This window comes from Homo sapiens, chromosome 10 (assembly GCF_000001405.40).
Source record: "Homo sapiens chromosome 10, GRCh38.p14 Primary Assembly".
NCBI lineage: Eukaryota > Metazoa > Chordata > Mammalia > Primates > Hominidae > Homo > Homo sapiens.
The window spans coordinates 34,711,779-34,737,879 of record NC_000010.11 but is presented as its reverse complement, the minus strand read 5'-3'; the positions used below and the strand labels follow the sequence as shown (position 1 = coordinate 34,737,879).

Genomic DNA, 26,101 nt, shown 5'->3' with positions numbered 1-26,101 from the left:
CTGTGTTCTTGTGTTCCTACTTTCCTAGATGTTTCATGCTGGTTTGCTGTGTGTCTTAGTTCATTCGTGTTGCTATAAGAAAATACCTGAAGTTGGGTGATTTATAAAACAACAGATTTATTTCTCACGGCTCTGAAGGCTGGGAAGTCCAAACTAGGTGCCAGTGTCTGGTGTGGGCCTGGATTCTGCTGCTAGGTTGGTGCCTAGCAGCTGAGCACTCACGTGGTGGGGGAGCCGAGGGCCCTTTTCTAAGGCTAATCTCCTTCTAAAGGCACCTCCTCTCTACTGTTGCGTTGGGGATTAAGTTTCAGCATGAATTGTGGAGGGGACACAAATGTTCAAACCAGAGCACTGTGGTTTTGCCTCCCCCAAATAGAATGCTCATTGTGGGAGGGGATAGGATTTTCACCTCTGTGGTAAAATCGGCTCCATAGTGTTGGGCAGACGTCTTTCTTAGTCCTTGTTGGGGTGGAGGTAACCGCACCACTTCAGCTGTCCTTTAAGGCAAAATGTAGCCAAGCACCTGAGTGGAGCTTTTGGCTTCTGACTGTTGTTAGTGGAGAAGTGGGAAATCTTCCTTGCCTGAGCACATAGTTACAGAATAACCCTTGGCTCCTGTTGAAAAGTGAAAGGCACATTGTATGCATGAGATACCTTTGACCTCACCGACTATTTGCTCAACCACCTAAATAAACACCCCGTATTCTTGGGACCAGGTCAATACTGCAGACCCCTGCTTCTCTCCGTCCCCCTTTCTCCCCTTCACCCGCTTTCTCATTTCTGTTTCTGTAACTGTGTCTTGCTGTTCTCAGTTGGGATTGTGGAGCATCTCAACCGTAAAAGGGGAGGGAGACATGAGTTTGTTGCTTCTGACCTTTTGGGATGTCTAAAGTCACCTATTTTGGCCAGGCATGGTGGCTCATGCCTGTAATCCCAGCACTTTGGGAGGCAGAGGTGGGCAGATCACTTGAGGTCAGGAGTTCAAGACCAACCTGGCCAACATGGCGAAACCCTGTTTCTACTAAAAATACAAAAATTAGCTGGGCATGGTGGCGCATGCCTGTAATCCCAGCTACTTGGGAGGCTGAGGCTGAGGAGAATTGCTTGAACCTGGGAGGTGGAGGTTGCAGTGAGCCTAGATTGCACCACTTCACTCCAGCCAGGGCAATAGAGCAAGACTCTGTCTCAGTAAATAAATAAATAAATAAATAAATAAATAAATAAATTAATTAATTAATAAAGTAACCTATTTCCAACATTTTGAAATAACTCTTTCTTCAGTGTAGTTGTCACTTTCTTTATGAACACAGACAGTGGTGCGGATTCAAGTGATCTATTTTTGTTTCATTTCTTTTATAGCTTTGTCTGCTGATGAAAAAAAAATTTAGCTAGGTGTGGTGGCATGTGTCTGTGTTCCCAGCTATTCAGGAGGCTGTTGTGGGAGGATCACTGGAGCACAGGAGTTTGAGGCTGCAGTGAGCTGTGATCATGCCACTGCACTCCAGCCTGGGTGACAGAGCAAGACCCTATCACCAAAAAAAAAAAAAAAGGGCCAGGCGCAGTGGCTCACGCCTATAATCCCAGCACTTTGGGAGGCCGAGGCAGGCGGATCATGAGGTCAGGAGATTGAGACCATCCTGGCTAACACGGTGAAACCCTGTCTCTACTAAAAATACAAAAAATTAGCGGGTGTGGTGGTGGGCACCTGTAGTCCCAGCTACTCGGGAGGCTGAGGCATGAGAATGGCGTGAACCCGGGAGGTGGAGCTTGCAGCTAGCCGAGATCGCGCCACTGCACTCCAGCCTGGGCGGCAGAGCGAGACTCTTGTCTCAAAAGAAAGAAAAAAAAAAGTAACAAGTTTGGTGTGGTGGCTCATGCCTGTAATCTGAACAATTTGGGAGGGCAGAAGGATTGATGACTTGAGCCCAGGAGTTTGAGACCAGCCTGGGCAACAGAGTGAGACTCTATTTTTATTACTCCAAGAAAAGTGTCATTACACAAGTGGAGTGTATACCATATATATAAAAAATATTTCTGTTAAAAATGGGATTATACTACAGTACATATATTGCATTGCTGAAATGATTACAGGCAAAGTGTACTGATATCCGCCACTTACTTTAAAAGGAATAAAAAATAAGGGGGGTTGTTTCAAATTTTTTTTCCTTTTATACTGCAAAGGGCCTGATGAGAATCTTTTCAGATAAATCATTGCATATATCTACTTTATTTTCTTACGGGAAAGTTTGGAAGCCCATGTGGGTAGGTTAGCCCATTTTGATATTCATTGCTGATGAAGCCCAGGAGATGGAATGCTTAATATAAGCCAGATTTTGGGACTGGCAGCAGATCTGTTGTGTTGGAACAGATCATTCAAGGAGCAGGGACAGAACTTTGAATGTGGTTAGTTGTATTGGGGTTCAATGTCAGATTGAGTCAGAATTTCAATTTGCAGCTAGTGAGAAGTCCTGTAATCGTTATTGCATATTCCATAATATCTTGTCATATGAACCTATCATAACTTTATTCCTTTAATGAAAAGAATATTTTCTCAAATTTTCTGCTGTAAATAACTAGTGCTATAGCATCTCTACAGCTTTATTCTTGTGTATGGAAGCTACGAGTAGCTTAGAGCAAAAGAAACATACAACTTATGTCTTATTATTGACAAATTGCCCTAAAAAAGATAATTGATCTCTCTCGTGAATACTAGGTTATCTACTTATTATTTTCTGTTGTCCGTTTGGATATACTCAAAAAGTGCTACATCATCATTGCCTTAATTTCCCTTAGCACCAGGGAATTTTACTGTTTTCTCACATGTTTACATCCTTTTCTCAGAATTTCCTATTAATTTATCCATTTTGCTCTTGGGGTTTTTTTTTTTTTTTTCCCATAAGCCCTTTGTAATAGTAACTTTAAATGCAGTACACATTGAAAATATATTTTCTGTATTTTGTCTGCTGTTTAACTTTTTAAAATGGCATATACCATACTTTGTACAGAAATGTTAAACTTCCTGGCTTTTGGGTATTAACATCTAGTGTCTTGCTTAAGAAGGCCTCACCTTAAATTGCAAACATATTCTCTTTTTATATCTAATAGTTTAAAATTAATGAAAGAAAGCATTTTGAATCTAATCTTGAATTCATATGGGATTGATTTTGTATTTGGTAAGGTAGGGACCTAATTTCTTCCCCACACTCCTCCAATAGGAAAGCCAGTTGTTTCAACACAGCATGTGAAGTTTTTTGTTTTCTCTTTTATTTTAAAAATGCCCCATATGGGCCGAGGTGGGCGGATCACAAGGTCAGGAGATCGAGACCATACTGGCTAACACAGTGAAACCCCGTCTCTACTAAAAATACAAAAAAATATTAGCCGGGCATGGTGGCGGGCGCCTGTAATCCCAGCTACTATGGAGGCTGAAGCAGGAGAATGGCGTGAACCCAGGAGGCGGAGCTTGCAGTGAGCTGAGATCGCGCCACTGCACTCCAGCCTGGGCGACAGAGCGAGACTCTGTCTCAAAAAAAAAAAAAAAAAAAAAAAAAAAAAAAGGGCCCCATATATTTGTTATATGTGTAATCTTCAATGATGGGAATTTGGCAGATTTTCCAAGTGCAGAAGTGTATCACTCACATGCCTTTTTGTAGTGCTTTGTTGATATAATGAATTTACTTTTTAGTAGTTGAGTAACTGATAAGGCATTATAGTAAAAGTTTTTTAAAGGATTTTTTTGAACCTGAGAAATAAGTTTTAACATTCTAAATAATAAATTAGGAGATTAGGAAACATTAAAACCATATGGTTACTTTTTACACTTTTTTTTCTGAATAAGTGATTGTTATGTTTGGGGTTAATTTTGTCAATGGGAAATAAGTATAAAACAGCTTTGTTCTTTCTATGACTGCTTATGGTAAAAAAAAAAAAACAGCTTTGATTTTACTTTCGCAGAAGCATAATTTACTCTCTTCTTTTGTGAATTGGTGTTAGCTTTATATTAGGAGTTTTGAGAAAGATGGTTTATATTAATTTTGAGTCTGCTTTCCAGAACAAATACCTGATAAAAACTCTAACCATGGCAGGGTGCGGTGGCTCACGCCCATAATCCCAGCACTTTGGGAGGCCAACACCAGCGGATCACCTGAGGTCAGGAGTTCGAGACCAGCCTGGCCAACATGGGGAAACCCCACAGATCTCAAACCCCGTCTCTACTAAAAATATAAAAATTAGCTGGGTTTGGTGGCACACGCCTGTAATCTCAGCTGCTTGGGAGGCTGAGGCAGGAGAATTGCTTGAGCCCGGGAGGAGGAGTTCGTGGTGAGCCGAGATGGTGCCACTGCACTCCAGCCTGGGTGACAGAGTGAGACTCAATCTCAAAAGAAACAAAACAAAACTCTAATCATGTTTGTCACTAGTTGTTTTTTTAAGCTGAATAATTTTTCTTTTTAATCACAACGTAGAATTATGTTTGTATTGGAATCTTGGACAGCTGTTAGTGAATAAAATTTTTATTTAAATTTTGTCTTAAAGCATTTTTGGAAGAGTGATTGTAAGGGACTTTCAACACATTCTAATAGTCACTGTCAATGATACTGGGAAAATTCTACTTCCATTTGTAATCAGGAAATGACTAGTTAATCTTCACTTGGTTAGTCATGCTTTTGTGGATGGTGATTAACGGTGTTAACTTTGAACTTTGGTATAAAGTGTAAGTAGAGGCAGGCAAATATTTCATTGTAGTAGTGAGACTTTTATGTTTTCCATTGATAGAGGTGAGCTTCTTGTTTCCTTGTCCCAGACCCCTTTATTTTGATATCACCTTGTTTCCTGTAGAGGGCAGAAGAGAGAGGGAGTTCAAAGAGAGGGTGGGAGGTGGGGAAGAGACACTAGACTGGAGTCTTCATAGAGGAGCTCCTCCGTGGGTCCCTCGTCTGCCTGGTGCCCGATGGCTGTCCCTCATGTTGCTATTTGTAGTGGCCTTCCAGTATGTTCCTCACACTGGGTGTGAGTATTGCTGAGGGAGGTATGGGTTTGTGAGGGGTGGTTTTCCATTTATTTGAAGGCTCAACTTTCGTATTGCAAAGGCAAATATTATGGCGTAACGTAAATTCTATATGAATTTTAACTCATTTACCTATTTATCACCGATTAATCAATTACTAATTATTTATTATTGATTGATTGATTGTCTTGCTCTGTCCTCCAGGCTGGAGTGCAGTGGTATGATCATAGCTCACTGTAGCCCCAAACTCCTGGGTTCAAGCAACCCTCCCGCCTCAGCCTCCCAAACAGCTGGAACTACAGGCACATGCCACTATGCCCGGCTAATTAAAAGAAAATTTTTTCGTAGAAATGGAGCCTTGCTGTGTTGCCCAGGCTGATCTCAAACTCCTGGTCTCAAGCTGTCCTCCCACCTTGGCCTCCCAAAGTGCCATTATAAGTGTCAGTCATTGCACCTGGCCTGTATGTATTTTAAAAATAAAATCAAGATATCTCACAAAATACTTCAAAGACAATTTGTATGGGTGGGGGTGGACAAAGGGATTAGTGCAGTTTACTTCAGGCCTCCTACCCTAGAGTGTCTCCATTTTACTACTTTTGCATGTACTTGAGAAGACCTGCATTGTGAGGCTTAGCTGTACTTTTGTTAATGTGACTGTTTTGTAGTTTAATGTTTTCAGAAGATTGCGTTTCTTTTTTTTTCTTACCTTTCAATAAGCGTTCTCAGGTTGAAAGAGTGCATATCTCAATGATGGTATGTAATGTTTTCATCGAATAGCCCTTTGGCAGCCGGCCTTTTAAAGTTAGAGACAGGGAAAACACCCTGCTGTCATATATTTTTCAAGAAAAGATTAATAGCTGTGATTCATTCTGCAAATAGCTATTCTTTTTGAGAGTTAGTCTTGCAAAATTTCTTCCCTTCCTTTTATTGTTGTCCTATCAATTCTGAGAAACTGAGAAAAATGAGCCTTGGGATTATTTCTCATTATACTTGTCTCACTGAATTTAGTGGGCTTATTTCTTCACTCCTCTCTTGTAAATATTTGCAGACTCATTACAGCATTTGCCTTTCCTGTGATTTAAATTAAAAATAAAGATTTTGGTAAGCTGTATGTGGCATGATGAAAAAACTAGGAGACTGTGGAAGAAGGAATTAGGAGATGGGAATGTTGGATATTGCTATTCAACTACTATTTGATTGTGAAAAAAATTACTTCTTGATTTTTGAACTTCAACTTTTCTCAATTGTTGGTGACCTCTAGAGTCTTTGCAATCCCTTTAAGTTCTGTGATTTTAATGGCAAATAAGTACTTTTATTTTACGACCTCAAAAGTGTGGTCATTTTATGAGAAACTTTATAGGACATGTAGCTATAGGTTTTTGTGTTGCTTTCAGACAAACTTGGAATGATAGTTCAGGTAATGTGCTAATCACTACAAATTTGTCTAGTCAGCGCTAGAGCAGCAAGTGTAACTTTTATAGCTGTCCATGTCAGTGGATTGTGTAAAGACTAATAAGACTTGAAAAGACTAAGAGGTAGTGAACAGCTCTCCAAATGAGTTGATTGAAGTCTGTAGGCAACTGAGGGTCTCATATCAGAATACATTTTCTTTGCATACATTTTATGCCATGCAAGTTGAAACTCAGGCCTGCTCTGTAGAAGAATTCCTAAAAGAAGATGTCTTAATTTTATATTTTGACTTTTTTTCTGATTTGGAAGATCATTATAAAGGTGAGAGAAAACAGCGTAAAAAAATTGCTCATAGCGTATTCAACAGATGATTATAATGATGACTTAATCAAGTATGCACAAATATCTTTATCATATGGAAACCCTGCCCGTAGAAGTTTGTAGCTGTGAAATTCTTAAGTTTGGGGCACAATGTTGTGTACTTACACTAATAGAGCTATATAACCGGGTCAAATTGTGGGTTGGTTTAAGAATTTCACAAGAGAAATGAATAGTTGTGGTTCTTTCCTTGTGTGTATGCGCTCATTAAGGCTGCTGGAATCCTCACAGCGTCTACTCGCTTTGCAGGACCTAATGGAGTACGTTTTTCAAATTTAAATTTTTATTAATTTCAATTTTATTTTATTTTGGAGACAGAGTCACCTTGGCTGAGTGCAGTGTTGCAGTCATAGCTCACTGCAGCCTTGTACTCCTGTGCCCAAGTGAGCCTCCCACCTCAGCCTATCCAGTACAGGTAGGACTACAGGCATGCATCATCACACATGGCTAATTTTTAAATTTTTTTGTAGAGACGATGGCTTGCCGTATTGGCCAGGCTGGTGTACAACTCCTGGGCTCAAGCCATCCTCCTTCCTGGGCCTCCCAAAGTGTAGGGATTACAGGCGTGAGCTCCTAGCCATGGAGTATATTTTGAAGACTGCCTTTGGCTTCATCTTGTTTTTTTAAAAATTGATTTCCCCTGATTTCTATATTATTGTTAAAAAGTAGTCCTGCATTATGTAAATTTATAGCTGTACAGTGCAGTTTAAAGTTGGTGAAAACTTTTCAATCTGCAAACTCATTAATTTCCAGGTCTGGTTAATTTATCCTTTAGGAAAAAAAAAATTGGATTTTGGAGAGAGAGAGGTGAGATTTGTAGATGCGTTGCTTTTGTATACCATCCACTTCTCTTTATATATTGTTGGATTTAATTTGGTGATATATTGTTGCTGATTTTTGTACCTTAGTTCATGAGGGAGAAGATGTATACATATTTGTCTGATTTTGGTATCAGGTTTATTTTGGCCTTTATAAAATATTTTAGGTGAGGATATAGCCCTGAGACATTATTTTATTTTATTGAGCATTTTAAGAAACACACTAAAATTCTTAATGAATTGCTCTTTAGGTCTGGTTCAGGCTATAAAACCTATTAAAATTCTCCAAAGCACATTGTTGAAAGCCCCTGATTTCTAGGGGAGGGAGGTGATGTTGGATGTGTTTTTATCGGAAGGAAGGATCTTTCCTTCTCTTTCCAATCCGTTTAAATTTAATCTCTCCCTGGGGATGCATCACAGATGCGTACACAACAGCCAGGAGTGAAGTACAAGGAACTCCTTGGACCATGGTCAGATTACTTTTCCGGCTCCTCCAGGAGACTGCTCGCTGCATAATGAAGTTAATTTGTGTGTGTAATTTCCTTAGTGGATTTTTAATTAAGTGGAAACTTTTGGGGCACTTGTCAGGTTCATTTACTGTAGGAGACCCTTCTATATTAAATCAAGTTCTACTATTTATAGATGTTTAGCTTCCATTTTACATGTAGAATCCTTCAAATTCTCACAACAATCCTTTTTTATAGCATCATATCTTATCTTATCTTTTTTTTTTTTTTTGAGATGGAGTCTTGCCCTGTTGCCCAGGCTGGAGTGCAGTGGTGTGATGTTGGCTCACTGCAACCTCCGCCTGCTGGGTTCAAGTGGTTCTCTTGCCTTAGCCTCCCGAGTAGCTGGGATTACAGGCACCCACCACCACGCCTGGCTAATTTTTGTATTTTTAGTAGAGACGGGGTTTCACTGTGTTGGCCAGGCTGGTTTTGAACTCCTGACCTCAAGTGATCCGCCCACCTCAACCTCCCAAAGTGCTAGGATTATAGGCATGAGCCTCCACGCCTGGCCAATAGCATCATATCTTTAAAAGCGTAGGCTGCATTCAGCATTTTAAGGATTTATATTCATAGTCACGCGCCGCTTAAGGAGGATTCATTCTGTGAAATGAGTTGTTAGGCAGTTTCATTGTGCGAGCATCATAGGGTGAACTTACACAAACCTAGGTTGCAGAGCCTACTGCACACCTCGGCTGTGTGGTCTAACCTGTTGCTCCTGGACTGCAAACCTGTACAGCCTGTTACTGTCCTGAATACTGCAGGCAGTTAGAACAGAGTGGTACATAGTTGTGTTTCTAAACATATCGGAACCTAGAAAAGGTACAGTAGAAATACGGTATTACAATCTTATGGGACCACTGTCTGTGTGCGGTCTGTTGTTGACTGAAATGTTATGCAGTACATGGCTGCATGAGATTAACTTGATAATTTTGCCTGATATGAAACCTAGAATATTACATTAAATATGAGAAACCATTTAAAAAACTAATGTACCTCCTGAAAATTTGGACTTTTTGACTGCTACATCTAGGTAATGAGAAACAAAAGGCAAGTACAGAAATGGTTGTATTCTGCTGGGCAATAAAAGCCTTTTACTGCTGCTTGGGATGACTTCATCCAAATTGGGAGCACTTAGAAATAGACAACAATGTGACATATTTACTGGAAACTGATTAGCAGCATTAGGACAAACACAAGTGTGTCAGTTTAAAGTGGAGAGTACTTTGAGGTGCATATTTTCCATTTTTATTATTCATCTGTTAGGGCACATTTCAGGGTTGAAGAGAGGTTTGGTGTTTTTTTTCCTGAAGTGCCCCTGCGTCATTGCAGTTCTGTGAAAGTATTCAAGATGTGGGACTAGCTGGCTGCTAATGTGACTATTTTTCTAAATTACAAAAACGTTCAGAAATGACATTTAGCGTCAGAATCCTTTAGATACTTTATTTGCTATTTAATGTACAGGCTTCCTGAAGAATATTTGTATGTATTTGAAGCAGTATATAATTTTGTCAAATATTCAAGAGCCTAAATTTGAGTGTTTTCTAAAAACAGTATTTTATTACATATGGTAAATTTGGTAAATTCTTAACTAGATAGAAAATAGAGAATAAAGGGCTTTTACTCTGTGTTTTTCTTGCCTACAGATTCATCATACATACTGTGAAGCCTCGAAATGCCTAGAGTCTAATAAATTAGACTTAATATACCTACTTGTTGATCCAGAATGCATTGCAAGGATCTTGTATTGTCTCCGGGTTGACATGTTGAATGTTGCTTGTCAGATATCGGGTGCTGAAAAGGCCTGTGCCCAGTATGTGGTAATGGTTGAGTCTGGAGGGGTTGGATGGAAGTGGTGTGTGTGTGTGTGTGTGTGTGTGTGTGGCGGAGGGAGGGGGTTGCATACTTGTGTTTCACCTGCGTGCGTGCGTGTGTGTGTGTGTGTGTGGTGGAGGGAGGGGGTTGCATACTTGTGTTTCACCTGCAGTAGGGAAACCTTTTCATTCTCCAGCAGGCCGGGGTTTCGTAACAGGGCTGGAGGAATGTTATTCTGGCAACAGTGTGTGTGATTGGGAATGGAGAGATGAGAGACCGGGAGCAGAAAGAAAACCTTAAAGGCTTCAAAGTGCCTATAAATCATTATGTATATAAACTTGGACTGTTTTTTTTGTTGTTGTCGTTCAAAAAAAAAATAAACATAGCAATCTCTCATTGCTGTGCTCAGACTTGCTTCAGTTAAATAAATTTTGACTACAGAGTACAAGGTGGTAGTTCTTTGTGCTTGCAGGTGTCAGCAGTCTGGAAGGACTGATGTACTTTGGGTCCTATGAGGCTTGCCCTGCCTGCAGGGAGAAGGCTAGAACACATTGTTTTAATGATGTCTGTCATGGCCAGCCTGAGAAATTGAGAAGATGCTGCATAAAACGTGGGAACGTGCAGTGCTTCCTGAGACCTGGGGAGCCTGGGCCAGAGCAAGCTTGTATGCCGCCAGTGGCAGCTGTTCCTTAGATAGGGTTCATGCTCTCAGGCTTGCAGGCACCCACTCATCCTGTCCCTCATTTACCTGCCTGGCTCCCATAGGCTTATGAGCTTGTGACTCTTGAGCCAAAGTCTTTAAACATATTGGAAGGATGGAATCCCCCACCACACAGGGTGCAGAGGGAATGGATGCTTTGTGGGCTCTAAGGATAGTGTAATGGTAAGAGCAGTGGTGCCTGTAGATCTTGTACTTCCCCTTTATTTTACAGGTTGGGGAATAGGCAGAGCTTTTATTTGTCTGAGCTTACCCAGCTGGTTATTGGCAAAGCAAAGACTGGACTTGATTCCCTGTCCACAGAAAAGGGTAGAAAGTTGCTGACAATAGAGGGCTCTGTGGTCAGAGGAGAAGTTCAGAGGTCTGTGCTCAGAAAGGAGAAAGTATAAAGATGTAATGCTGGCCTTTCCTTATACATATGAGACAGAAAAGACCCCCGCTCCCGCCTCCCCCCACTTTTTTTTTTGGAGATGGAGTTCACTCTTGCCGCCCAGACTGGAGTGCAGTGGTGCATTCTCAGTTCACTGTAGCCTCCACCTCCTAGGTTCAAGTGATTCTCCTCAGCCTCAGCCTCCTGAGTAGCTGGGACTACAGGTGCCTGTCACCACGCCCAGCTAATTGTGTATGTGTTTGTGTGTGTGTGTTTTGAGACAGGGTCTCACTCTGTCGCCCAGGCTGGAGTTCAGTGGCACAATCTTGGCTCACTGCAACCTCTGCCTCCTGGGCTCGAGCGATTCTGCCTCAGCCTCCCGAGTAGCTGGGATTATGGGTGTGTGCCACCACGCCTGGCTAATTTTTGTATTTTTAGTAGAGATGGGGTTTCACCATGTTGGCCAGGCTGGTCTCAAATTCCTGACCTCAGGTGATCCACCCTCCTTGGCCTTCCAAAGTGTTGGGATTACAGGCGTGAGCCACTGTGCCCGGCTAATTTTTTGTGTTTTTAATAGAGACACAGTTTCATCATGTTGACCACGCTGGTCTTGAACTCCTTAACTTAGGTGATTCACCCACCTCCCAAAGTGCTGGGGTTACAGGCATGAGCCATCGTGCCTGGCCAAAGCTTTTGTTTTAGTAAAACATGAACTCGATTTGTTCTAAGTATAAAAGTAGTTATAGCCAAGAGCTTTAGGAAGTTATATGGCATCTGTTGATGGTTAAAAGACATGTTAGGCAGAAATCCTTGTGGTGCTAATTGATTACCTTTACACTCCCTTAAGTCTGGAAAGAACTTTAACCAAATGGCATTCTAAAGACATGTATGCTTAGATACTGCAGTTATCTGTTACATGACTGAGAACGTGGGATTAAAAAAACAACAACACACAAACGCATTCACTCAAGACAGTAGAACTAGTCCACAGCAAGCAAATAATGTTTTAGGTGTAGTAAAGTATCTGCCTTTTTGCAAAGTAACTTTTGTTGTTCAGTTGCAGTCCTGGTGTTAGCTACCCAAGCTGGCTGGACATTGTGTCATCTGAGTTTCTTTCTAATTCACTTGTTCTTGGTTGGAGTGTTGTGTAGTTAGTAAAGCTCGCAGGTGTTTCTGATACAGCCAGGATTGAGAACCACCATGTATTCCCTCATTCCCTTTTGAGATAGATTGACACTAGATATTGTGCCCCCCCAAGGGTAGATTTTTACGATGAATAACACTACTCCTCACAGTTGAGGAAGTAGGGACTGTTGTGAAAATCCTGGCTTATCAGAATGGCAACGAATACTTAGCAGTGACTGAATGCCTTGAGCTATTCGGAGAGCTTGAAAAGTTTTGACTGGGCTGGGCGTGGTGGCTCACACCTGGAATCTTAGCACTTTGGGAGGCCGAGACAGGTGGATCACCTAGAGGCCAGGAGTTCAAGACCACCTTGGTCCAACATGGTGAAACCCCATCTCTACTAAAAATACAAAAATTAGCCAGGCGTAGTGGCAGGCATCTGTAACCCCAGCTACTCAGGAGGCTGAGGCAGGAGAATCGCTTGAACCTGGGAGTTGGAGCATGCAGTGAGCTGAGATCACGCCACTGCACTCCAGCCTGGGCGACAGAGTGAGACTCCGTCTCTCTCTCTCTCTCTCTCTGTCACACACACACACACACACACACACACACACACACACACACACACAAAGTTTTGACTCATTCAATCCTTTTAACAATTCTATGAGTAAGGGACTCTTGTTACTCACATTTCTCAGATGAGGGAAACGGGCAGAGAGAGGTTAAGTCATTTGCTCCAGCTATGTCCAGTCTTCACTGTTAATTCCTAGGCTCCATTGCTTGTACTGAATGAGCTGATGCTTCCTTCATATTTGTAACTAATCAGCTCACTGAGCGGATTTTAGAAGCTCTAGCATTTCTACTGCTCCAGCATTTGCTCCGCAGTTACGTTGTTGTCACTTGGGCTACAGCATCCAGTAGACTGATGTTCAGGGCTCTCCTGCAGACTGCTGCTGCCCGTGGTAGCACAGCCCAGCTGACTTGACCTATCCCCAGAGCTCTTCTTCACCTCTACACCCCTGCCTTTGTCCTGAGTTAATAATATAACATAACAGTAAAAACAAAAATATTTTGTGGTCAGTTTTCTAGTTACTGGGTTTAATGACAACTAGCCAGTTTAGCTTATATATATTCACTATAGTATTTCCTTTAGTTCTATGTGCTATGTTTACTGTGATCATAGTAAAATTATTTTAAATACTTGATTGGGATTAGAACAGGGCAGCCTCTTATATATAACTTAATTTTTTTACTAGCAAGTTTAGAAATTTACCAGCAAGTTTATAATTTTTTCTAGCCAATGTATGAGCTTATAAACAAAACAAAAAACTCTTTAGTTATGTAAGAGAACTGAAGGGAAATTACAGTGCTATCTTCACCACTGCAAGAGGGTAGGTGCTTGTATAAGCTTTTAAAAATGGGCATGACTTGCAAGGCTATTTTAGTTGCATGGAGAAAGCCATAGATCACAATGCAGTTTCCAACCATACTGCATTGACTTAAAAAAAAATACCCTGAGAGATAAATAATTAAACAATATGGGATGCATTTCATAGAATCTTCAGGATTACATGCTTATTTTCTCACGAACACTGAGTTTATTTGAATTTTGGATTATGTATATACTGTCCCTGTGCTCCATACGAAGTTTCCATTAAGAATGTGTTCTTGCTTTAATGATGTGCACTCCTGTTTCCCTCTGCAGTGAACAGGAATTACCAAGCTTGTGCTCGTTGAGTGCTCTCTGCTGGTGGCTTTGGGTTTTAATATCAGTAACAGATCCACCAGTGAAGTGTAGACGAGAACTCAAACTGGAAAGTGAAAGGAGCCCAGCTCCCAGCCTGCGGCACCCTTCCACTGTGAGCCCAGAGTGCGATTACAGATGTCCCCTAAAGAAGTGCCCCCATCCCTGGTCCTGCATCCCTGCGGTGTGCTCAAGCCTGCAGTTCCTCCGCTGCATCGCCGTGATCAATACTTGAGCATATTTTAAAACACAGTGTACTAGAATGATGCCAGATTTATGAAGTGATTGAGCTTTTTCCCTAGGCGGGGAACAAGCTGTGGAAAATGGGAAGTTTAAAAGTCTTCTGACATCATAAAGCTGAGATTAATTACTATGATCTGATTGATATCTAATACATTTTGGTTTTTCAAACAGAGTTTGAAATAATTGGTGATATGAGCTCAAAGAAGTTTATGATCTTATCAGAGGTGACCTTAAAATTTGGGGAGTCAGAAACAGAAGTCAAAGGCACTATGCTTCTTTAAGGAAAAAAGCAATCAGAAATGCATAATAAACATAGTGACTTTGCTTCTGTGTGTCTCTCTGGCTGTTTCAGCCATCATTGGTGGCCTTTTTCTCGTATGATTTTACTGGATACATGTAAATCAAAGGCATCCTCTAACCTTTCAAGTCAATATATGATTTCTTTTTTGTCCCCCAGACAGAGCCTCGCTCTGTTGCCCAGGCCTCCTAGGTTCTCCTGCCGCAGCCTCCCAAGTAGCTGGGATTACAGGCATGTGCCACCATGCTTGGCTAATTTTTATATTTTTAGTAGAGACAGGGTTCTTGCCGTGTTGGCCAGGCTGGTCTTGAACTCCTGAGCTCAGGTGATCTCCCACCTCAGCCTCCCAAAGTGCTGGAATTATAGGTGTAAGCCACCGTGCCTGGCCAATATATATATTTTTGTAAAAATATGCTTTCATTAGGGAAAATTTCAAATATACTACAATTGTTAAGAGAATAACATACCTCCATGTACCTGTCACCCAACTTCAGCAATTCACATTTTTGGCCAATCTTGTTTCTTCTGTACCCTCGCACTATTTCCATTCCATCATTTTGAAATAAATCTTAGATATCAGATAGTTACACTGGTAAATATTTCATCATGTTCAATATATGTATTTGTCAAAAAGGAATATTAAACTAATATCCTGCCTTCTGCCTCACTTTCTAAAGAAGATACTGTGTTTTGAAAGGTGGCTTACAAAATGCTTTGTGATATTCTAAATGCTGAGGCAAAATATATGAAGTTAAATGTTTTTGAGATGAAGGCTGTCAACAGCTTTCGGAGCATAGGCAAGAAGATTGTGGGGCAAGTGTGCGCAGGAAGTGTGAGGCCCAAAGTGTCCTGCCCTGGAGAGTGAGACGGAACATCCCCAGGGAGTACCGTGCTGAACATCAAGCCTGATCTTACCCTGCTGTCACAGGAGATTAAGTGGCCAGGCTGGTTCTTCAGTCCTCATTTCTCAAAACACATACATGGATGTTTTCTATGATTATAGTTTATAGTGACCTTGTGCAGAAGCATTGAGCCAGTTTATTATTAAAACTTGGACTAGGTAAACTATAATTTGATTTCTGTACAGGCGATAACCACTGGAGATAGCAAGAGTGAATGACAGTGTGGTGACGGGCAAATCTTATTTGTTACTGTTTAGACAATCTATATATACATAGATAAACAGTCTATATATATACATAAAACAACAGTATATATATAAAAATATATAAATATATGTCTCAAAAATATATATTTTGAGACAGGATCTCACTTTATCACAAGGCTGGAGTGCAGTGGCACCATCATGTCTCACTGCAGCCTTGAACTCCCTGGGCTCAGGTGGTCCTCCTACCTTAGCCTCTGGAGTAGCTGGGACTACAGGCACGTGGCGCCATGCCTGGCTAATTTTTGTGTTTTTTATTATTATATTTTTTTAGAGATGGGATCTCACCATGTTGCCCAGGCTGGTCTTGAACTCCTGGACTCAAGCGATCTGCCTGGTTTGGCCTCCCAAAGCTCTAGGATTACAGGCGTGAGCCACTGCACCCAGCCTGTTTAGACAATATTAAAGCCATTGTTTTTCTAGTGTTAGAGTTTGTATGTTATAATTTAGTACATGCTTAATTGAAGGTATTGGTGTAACCCCAAAATATATATTTTTCACATAACTCAGATTAGCAGTGGTATTTAGTGCTTTAGTTATATCTTCCAGCAGATAACTGAATGGATCTCACTTTATTTTTATCATAATTGGTGAGAGCTGGGAATCTTATGTCTCCAGGAGATGGCTGTACAGGAACTGTGTGTGATTCGCAATGTGGAAGAGCAGGGTCTTGCTCCCTTGGGAACCCTGCAAGTAGTTGAGCCCCCTGGTCACTCAGCTTATCACTGTGGATGCTGGGCACTCCTGGGGGATGCTCTGGAGCCCCTCTCAGGGTATTGCCTTTTCGCTGGCTATGGGGTTGGAGGAGAGGGTCAGACTCCTTCCCTGCCCTCAGCTTGCCGGCTGCCCAGGCACACCCTGTGTGCAGCTTCAGCATTCCTGTGGCATTGGTCTCTGTGGTTTTTCTTCTTTTCACATAGCTTACTTTACGCCCTGTTCGCTCCACAACTCTTTTCAAAGACAGGATGGAGGTACAGGAAGGAAATAACTTAATTTGAATATTAAAATTCTGTTAATTTTAGAATGCAGTCTCTTCAGTTCTGGAATTGATTTCTTTTGGTTGCTGTTGGTCTTTGTAAGGAGCGTAACATTGCTTAAGATTTATATATAACCGAGTCATTTTCTGTCTCTGTATCATATTCCTTTAGGTAAGCTTTTTCAAAGTTACTTTGAATAGTTGATATAGATTTAGAACAAACGAGTCACCATTCTCAGGATACTTCTATTGCCTTTCTGGAATAATGCAGCTCATTGTTCTGCCAAGTATCCTCTAATCAGCCTGAAAAGTGTTTTCTTTTATTTCATCATGACATTGGGCCTTTTAATTGAGAGTGAAAATCATTAAAGGCAAATTATTTTGTGTAAATTATGGTAGATTTAGCCTTACTACATAATTTTGGAATGTTTTTATGATTGGTTGTGTATGCTCTGGCAGATGTCTTTATCATGACTTATTTTAGGTGGGTTAAGAATTCTTTTTTTTTTTGGAGACAGAGTTTCGCTCTTGTTGCCCAGGCTGGAGTGCAATGGCGCGATCTTGGCTCACTGCAACCTCCGCCTCCCTAGTTCAAGTGATTCTCCTGCCTCAGCCTCCCAAGTAGCTGGGATTACAGGCATGTGCTACCACGCCCGGCTAATTTTGTATTTTTAGTAGAGACAAGATTTCTCCTTGTTGGTCAGGCTGGTCTTGAACTCCTGACCTCAGGTGATCCGCCCGCTTCAGCCTCCCAAAGTGCTGAGATTATAGGCCTGAGCCAATGCACCTGGCTAGAATTCTTGGCATAGTACACAGTGGCATTATTTCCAAGGCTTTTTTTTTTTTTTTTTTTTTTTTTTGACAGAGCCTTGCTCTGTTGCCCAGGCTATAGTGCAGTGGTATGATCTCAGCTCACTGCAACCTCTACCTCCTGGTTTCAAGCAATTCTTCTGCCTCAGAGAATCAAACAGTTGTCCTCCCAAGTAGCTGAGATTACAGGCACCCACCACCACACCTGGCTAATTTTTTGTATTTTTAATAGAGACAGGGTTTCGCCATGTTGGCCAGGCTAGTCTTGAACGCCTGACACTCAGGCGATCCACCTGCCTGGGCCTCCCAAACTAGTGGGATTACAGGCATGAGCCGCCGTGCCCGTTTGCAAATTTTTAAAAGTAAAAAAGCAAAACAAACCCACATGTCAGTGTTTCAGTATTTACTTCAGGGGGAAATTGTATCCTAACATACCCTGCACCATAAGCTGAAATTTCAGTGCCAATTCCATTGCTTGTGTGTCCATCCAAAATAAAGACAAGTTTTTGCAGGAATGTCAGATGACTGTGGGACAGGCCTAGACAGGAACAAAACTGGAGGCTTCGCATCAAAACAAACACCCACCTAACCACATGGGTTTTGCCCTGTGAGTTGTTTGTCATCCTAGATTTTCAGCAAGAATGGGCTTTAGTACCATATTTCACATATGAGGAGGTGCTAATTTTGTTAATCATATCACATTGGTAATATTCATCACTACATTGTAATATGAAAGTTGAAAGTCTTGAACTTAAAGTTCATAAATTCATTGCCCAAATCTCTGGTTGGCTTTAAATGTCCTTTTGGAGGGGAGAAGGAAAGAGGGGCATGGTTTGAGGGTTATACTGAAATAATCTGCTTGCTGTATGATATCGAGCAGGTCTAACTAAAAAGGTAGGTGGTGGTTTCTCTTGCATGCATACAAACATGTTTCTGGCCCCAGTTGTCAAACGAGTTTTGTGTTTTCCTTGTCTAGTCTTGTTGACCTGCTATTTATTTTAGTCTTTTGATAAACAGGAAGTGTTGCTGCACTGCACTCAGGAATGTATTAAGTAACTATTAATATTAAACAAGATTGGAGGGATGAGAAGGGATTTAACTTAAAGTAGAGGGAGGATATAAGAAAATGAAATAATCCTTAAAATTTTAGAATTAAAATTTATTTGGGGCCTTTTGAAATGCTTTTTTTCCCTTGAAACCTCAAATTCTGGATTTACATTTGATGTTTCTGTTGGTGGTATATTACATTGCTTTAAGGTTGTTTAGAACAAACGTCACAATTAATGATGACATGAAGGTTAGGATTCGAGCACTAGCTTTTTTCAGACAGGTCTAAAAAGGGCTCTGCCCTAGTCTATCCCTAGCAGAGATGTTACATGTGCCTGGCTCAATTCAACGTATCAGTATATTGTGGGGAGAAAGGATGAATAAGGACAACACCACAAGTTGTGATGGAGTGTATTGTTTCTAGGCTGTTTCCCTGGTTGTTCCAATACACCATGCATTTTTTTAAAATTTATTTTTTATTTTTATTTTTTTTTGAGTCTCGCTCTTGTCCCCCAGGCTTGAGTGCAGTGGCTCAATCTCGGCTCACTGCAACCTGCTCCTTCCGGGTTCAAACAATTCTCCTGCCTCTGCCTCCCAAGTAGCTGGGATTAAGGCACCTGCCACCACGCCCGGCTAATTTTTGTATTTTTTAGTAGAGACAGGGTTTCACCATGTTGGTCAGGCTGGTCTCGAACTCCTGACCTCAGGTGATCCGCCTACCTCGGCCTCCCGAAGTGCTGGGATTACAGGCGTGAGCCACCGTGCCCGGCCAATTTATTTTTATTTTTGAGATAGAGTAGAGTCTTGTCGTGTTGCCCAGGCTGGAGTACAGTGGTGTGATCACAGCTCACTGCATCCTTGGTCTCCTAGGCTCAAGCAATCCTCCAGCCTCAGCCTCTCAGTAGCTGCGACTACAGGCATGCACCACCATGCCTGGCTGATTATGTTGCCTTTTGTGGAGACGTGGTCTCACTTTGTTGCCCAAGCTGGTCTTGAACTCCTGGGTTCAAGCAATCCTCTGGCCTCGGCCTCCCACAGTGCTGGGATTACAGGTGTGAGCCACTGTGCCCAGCCTCACTGTGCATGTTTTGACCTCCTCACCTTTGTCCTAAGATTTCTCCTGATTGAAAATAAATGACCATTTCTTCATGAAGCGTTCTTTGTCTTTAGTGTTTTCTGTATTTTCTCAATTCATGTACTGCTTGGTTGGCAGTTACAATTTCCATAACTGAGTATTGTTAGTGACCTTTTCATATACCTATGGCTTGCCTCCCAAAATTGATTTTTTTTTTTTTTTTTTTTGAGATGGAGTCTCTGTTACCCAGGCTGGAGTGCAGTGGCACCATCTTGGCTCACTGCAGCCTCCTCCTCCCAGGCTCAAGCAATTCACCTGCCTCAGCCTCCCAAGTAGCTGGGATTACAGGCATGCACCACCATGCCCAACTAATTTTTTGTATTTTAGTAGAGACAGGGCTTTACCATGTTGCCCAGGGTGGTCTCGAACTCCTGAGCTCAGACAGTCCACCCATCTCGGCCTCCCAGAGTGCTGGGATTACAGGCGTGAGCCACCACGCTTGGCCCCGAAATTAATATTTAAGTGTTGTAGAACAGGGGTTTTATTATAGATTTGGCTGTACCGCTGTTATTGCATAACACAATTATTTTCAGACTGGGTGTTTGGTTCTTAATTCACTGGTGGTGTGCACCATGCCATCCTGCCATCCCCAGCTGCTGTCAGAGTACATGGTAAATATAGAAATGTGTCCAGTCAGTAGTAGCCACGTGGACGCTCTTCTCCATATTTGACTTTTCTTGCTCTTAGAAGGCTTTTCCAGTAATCTGCGTGGGACCGTGACTTTGCTTGCTTATGGTGTTTCCAGCACCTCCACCAGACTCTCAGGGTTTGGAAAGCTGTTCTGGGTGAATGGTGTCTACAGAACTTTGAACTCTGCGATTGCAGGGGAACATGCTTATAAATGCGTGTTTAATACAGAATGTTGTAGAGGAGATTAGGTACTTTTAATTTTGTATTATGGGTTGTTTTCAAGATCTAATTATGTGTTGGTAGGAATGGCTGTTTTATTTCTACTTGTGGGAAAAAGGCTGCCTGGAGTTTGTTTAATTTTTCTGATATAGCATCATAGACTGGTAGAGCAATATAGGAACCCCAGAGACCATCCAACTCCCTCATTTCTATACAAAAGGACTTGGGTGCCCACAAAGAGGAAATGACTTGTGCAGTTTCAGGCCACTTAACCACAGAGTCATTTTATTGTCCTTTTTGTGGCTACTGATAGATAAGGCTTGCACTCACTAGATGCCCTTGTCATCAAGGCCCAGGTCACCAGCTGCACACAATTTATCTGTATGTCTTTAAAGCAGGGGGGTCCAATCTTTTGGTATCCCCGGGCCACACTGGAAGAAGTGGTGTTATCTTGGACCACACATAAAATACACTAACAATATCTGATGAGGTAAAACAAAAATTGCAAAAAAAAATCTGATATTATTTTGAGAAAGTTTATGAATATGTGTTGGGCCACATTCAAAGCCATCCTGAGGCTGGGTGCAGTGGCTCACACCTGTAATCCCAGCACTTTGGGAGGCCGAGGCAGGTGCATCACCTGAGGTTGGCAGTGCGAGACCAACCTGACCAACATGGAGAAACCCTGTCCCTACTAAAAATACAAAATTAGCCGGGGGTGGTGGCGCATGCCTGTAATCCCAGCTACTCGGGAGGCTGAGGCAGGAGAATCGCTTGAACCCAGGAGGCAGAGGTTGCAGTGAGCCAAGATTGCACCATTGCACTCTAGCCTAGGCAACAAGAGCAAAACTCTGTCTCAAAAAAAAAAAAAAAAAAAAAAAAGAAAAGCCATCCTGGGCCACACGTAGCCCATGGGGCTGCAGGTTGGACAAGCTTGCTTTCAAGCTTCACAACCTACTCTGCTCTTTTGTCCCCTCCTCCCATCTGATAAGTTTATAGTTACAAGTTTTATTGTTGTTTGAGGTAGTCCATTTCACACTTTAATTACTAGTTGTGTAATTATGTTTTGCCTGAGTTCCCATACAGCTAATTTGTTTCCATGCTTCCATGCAGGATTTTATCAGAAACTTTAAAGTATCCTAGGGAATATTACCAGTGCAGACTAGTTGTATTTGTGCTTGATGTATTCTCTGTTTTAATGCATTGTGTTAAACTTCCTTTTTCTGAGACACCATGTACCATAATTTCTTAAATAAACTGAAGGCACACGCATTACATTTCAAATGTCTCATAAGGGAATATAGGAACAGAGAACTAACCATGTATGTAAGGAATTATGAATTTTATGGAATTAATGTATAAAATCTCTTTTATGTGTATTTTATAAGGTGTCTTGGAGCCCGTACTTTAAAATTCTCCTATTTTAAATGGATGTCTGTATTTGAAACTGACCAGATGGCCTAGATAAAGTCTTGAGTCATAATATTAGGGCCTTTCAGAAAAATCTAAGTGCCAGTAGATTTTCAAACAAAATAGGTTAGCAAGGGAATAGAAATTGATCTTTGGCTTGAAATAACCAGTAACAGACTTCAGTGAATGTTTTGTGGTGTGAGGGCTATGTTTAAGAGGGAGCTCTAGTTGATTCGTATGCTAGACCACAGATTCTAGGAGGGTGGGACCCATTCATTGCGATGACCCTGCATCTTGTTCCGTGCCTGCCACATGGTAGATGCTTCGTGAATATTTGTGGAATGAATGCATACTGTGGCCTATGGGACTCACCATGGTGATAAACGGTAAAACATGCACATCTTCAAGACGTCATTTTAAGTGCTTTGGGGGGACTGGGCATAAGATAAAAGTAGGATTGAAGATGGTTGTCTTGCAGAGATACATTTCAGCCAGGAACTGAAATGTGGGTAAGATTTCCGCAAGGGAAGGGGTAGGGATGGCTTTCCAGGAGGTATAGACAAGCAGATAACAAGTTTGAGCAACAGGAAGATCCTGTGGACTTCATGGCTTGTATCTTGTCATATATGAAGGTACATCCCCTGTGTGTATGGCTCAGTCCATGCTCATATTCTTTCCTCAAAGTTGATGCACAGGGCCGGGTGCAGTCCTCAGCACTTTGGGAATCCGAGGCAGGAGGATCACTTGAGTCCAGGAGTTGGAGACCAGCCTGGGCAACACAGCGAGACCTTGTCTCTACAAAAAATTTAAAAATGTGCTGGGCGTGGTGGTGTGTACCTGTAATCTCAGCTACTTGGAAGGCTGAGGCAGGTGGGTTGCTTGAGGCCAGGAGTTCAAGGCTGCAGTGAGCTATGATAGCACCACTGTGCTCCAGCCTGGGTGACAGAGCGAGACCTTGTCTCTTAAAAAAAAAAAAAAAAAGGTTAGGCTAGGTGTGGTGGCTTACGCCTGTAATCCCAGCACTTTGGGAGGCTGAGGTGGGTGTATCATGAGGTCAAGAGATGGAAAGCATCCTGGCCAACATGGTGAGACGCCGTCTCTACAAAAAATACAAAATTAGCTGGCTGTGGTGGTGCGTGCCTATAGTCCCAGCTATTCGGGAGGCTGAGGCAGGAGAATCACTTGAACTCGGGAGGCGGAGGTTGCAGTGAACCAAGAATGCACCACTGCCCTCCAGCCTGGGTGACAGAGTGAGACTCCATCTCCAAAAAAAAAAAAAAAATTTTGATGTGTGTTCTTTGCTTACAAAGATGTCTGTGGTAATGAGACTCAGGAGCACCCTGTGATCTTATGGAAATCTTTTGAAGATACCATCATAGATCCCTCCCTTGGCCAAGAGTAGGAGTATCCTGCAAGGAGATGGGAACTCCACCTCAGACATCAGCAATCCTGAGGAGACATTGGGAACAGGCCCCTCCGTCCTTAGATCACAAGTGGCTGTGATCTAAGCTGTGCCGTGGTATGGCATCCACCCCTTAGGGGCCACACTTAGGATGTTGGGGTGCTGTGGCACTTTAACTTGGACCCCACGCAGTGTGGGGTGTGCTGGATTTAAGTACAGATGCCACGAGGTGCAGTTGGATAACTGTTTGTCCATAGCTCCAAAGAGGAAATCAGAGGTAGGTGCAAGGCCTTCATCAGGGTTCATTTATTCCTAATAATAGTCTACTCTGTTATATTCATGTAGGAGTATTTCTTCTGATGCAGTTGGGTTTCATATAGCCAGGTGTAAGGAATTAATCTTTATGTTGAAGTCATTTGGGAGCCTTTCTTTGTGAAAAATCAGGTCATTTTTGGATTAAGTAATGTGACAGGGAAGTGGGGAGCTACTTCGGGGTCAAGTTTTTGTTTAGGATTCAGAGCCATTTGGAATTTATCATGTTTCAGTGAGGCTTTTCTTTCCAGGTCAGAAAAATTCCTTTTGGTCTGAGTCAACATCTCTTGTTTGCTAGGGAGAAGTAAACAGGAGAGGGTAGATCTTTCTTCTCTTAGGCTGGATGAGTAACCTTAAAGTTCTTCCAGGTTGGTTGTTTTGGATTATTTCTTTTATAAATAGTAGAGAAATATTCAACATTTTAGTTAGTTTTTAAAATACCACCCAATATTATAGTTACCAGGCCTCAGAGGAGGTAACCTCTCCAGAGGAGAGGCAGGAGATCTCTGCCTGGAGATGTCCGTGACCCTATTTTATGTTTATGGGTTGTTTTTGTTTCCTTTTTCTTTTCCTTTTTTGAGACAGGGTCTCTCTTTGTCACCCAGGCTGGAGTGCATTGATGCGATAATAGCTTACTGCAGCCTTGACCTCCTGGGCTCAAGCGATCCTCCTACCTCAGCCTCCTGAGCAGCTGGGACTACAGGTGCAGAACACCACGCCTGACTAATTTTATTTTTAATTTTTTTGGTGGGATTGAGATTTTGCTGTGTTGCCCAGGCTGGTTTTGAACTCCTGGCCTCAAGCAACCCTCCCGCCTTGGCCTCCCAAAGTGTTCTGGGATTACAGGTGTGAGCCACCGCACCTGGCCTGGTTGTTCTTTCTACAGCTTTGAATCTAGCACTGCCTGGAGTATGGAATGGAATGCGTCTTAGATTGTTTATCTGTGATAGGCAAAGTGGTGCAAAGTGTGACTTCTTCATAGTGAAATTAGTCTAGCATATTACCTGGTGGATGATACAGCTTTCACTATTCCATTTTTTTTTCTGTTCTAAGAAGAAAAGGTTTTTATTTTAAAATTTATTTTATTTTTAAAAATAATTTCCACTTTTAATTAATTAATTAATTTATTTTTGAGATGGAGTCTCACTCTGTCACCTAGGCTGGAGTGCAGTGGTGCAATCTCGGCTCACCACAACCTCCACCTCTTAGGTTCAAGTGATTCTCCTGCCTCAGCCTCCCAAGTAGTTGGGATTACAGGTGCCTGCCACCATGCCCGGCTAATTTATTTTTGTATTTTAGTAGAGACGGGGTTTCACCATGTTGGCCAGGCTGGTCTCGAGCTCCTGACTTAAAGCGATCTGCCTGCCTTGGCCTCCCAAAGTGCTGTGATTACAGGCATGAGCCACTGCGCCCGGCCTCAGCTTTTATTTTAGATTCAGGGATACTTGTGCAGGTTTGTTAATGGGTATATTGCATGATGCTGAGGTTTGGGGTACGATTGATTCCATCACCCAGGTAGTGAGCATAGTACCCAATACCTTTTCAACCATCTCCTCACCCTCCCTTCTCCATCTAGTAGTCCCCAGTGTTTATTGTTGCCATCTTTATGTCCATGTGTACCCCCTTAAAAAAGGCCTTTTATCTTGGGTGTTGCGACAGTGTCTCCCTTCCTAATGTGTCACCTTGGCAAACTTCTTGGAAGAATCAGTGTGTCCTAAAGGGAAAATGTGGATTTCCAGGTTAGCGTCTGAGCCTAAGCTATGCTTGACTGTGACATTATGTGGTGTTGATCTCAGGCAAGTCAAGTGTCCTATTCCTTAGTCTCTTCTTCTACAAAATACAGTTGAAAACATTGATCTTGCAGGATTGTCACATGGAAAAGCAGGTGTCATGTCAGAAGTGCTCTGTAATCAGAGTGAGGGTGAAGGAATGGAATGGATTAGGAGGTGGGCGCAGCACCAGGTGCCTGCTTTCATGGTGCTGATGGTTGTGAAGCTTGCAGATACAGATTTGAGTTCTGGAGCAGAATATCCTGTAGCTACGTCCACACTGTGGTTTAGGGACTTAGGCTTGGATTATTCCATATTCACTACCTTCCCTCAGTAAAGCCTTCTGTTTTCTGTCTACCAGTTCATCAGGTAACAATACTACCCACTGTTCGTACCCTTCCACACTCTTAGATCCATCGGGACTAGAGTGAGGAGAACTGGGTTGGCCAAGGTGAGTTTTGGCTTGCCCTCTTTTTTCTGGGGTATGAGTAAGATATTTATCGGGGCTTAAGCTCACTTCTTCTGCCTAAGATTCCTGGCCAGTCACACTGGGGACCCACCTCTGCAGGTGAGGACGAAGGTATTCATATTGCAAGTTGGGTTCGTTTTCATTGCAAGGGAAGAGTGTCTGGATGTCTTCTTTCCCCACATCTGAAATGTTTCCTGGAATGTAAACTAGAATAATCACACAGCATTTCTTGAGCCAGCTCTGAGGGACAGGATAAAGGGTGAATGGGGGCGTTGATCCTGACATGGCCTGGCATGTCCACGCATTTCTTTTGGCAGCTAGGAGAGC

General features: G+C 42.2%; 1 protein-coding gene across 11 annotated transcripts in view, besides 2 other annotated features; it reads left to right on the top strand.

Annotated features, from left to right (window-relative positions):
- The window catches only part of PARD3 (par-3 family cell polarity regulator), a 705,736-nt gene that overhangs the window by 77,417 nt on the left and 602,218 nt on the right, over positions 1–26,101 (top strand). The gene's annotated exons all lie outside the window — the stretch shown is intronic.
- Positions 92–592: an enhancer, noted in NCBI's record as "H3K4me1 hESC enhancer chr10:35026216-35026716 (GRCh37/hg19 assembly coordinates)". NCBI's record gives its function as "activates a minimal SCP1, AML or CMV promoter by ChIP-STARR-seq in naive H9 embryonic stem cells {active_cell/tissue: H9 hESC(naive)}" and the evidence as "EXISTENCE:reporter gene assay evidence [ECO:0000049][PMID:30033119]".
- Positions 20,665–20,804: a silencer, noted in NCBI's record as "silent region_2293". NCBI's record gives its function as "represses an Ori minimal core promoter by ATAC-STARR-seq in GM12878 lymphoblastoid cells {active_cell/tissue: GM12878}" and the evidence as "EXISTENCE:reporter gene assay evidence [ECO:0000049][PMID:35858748]".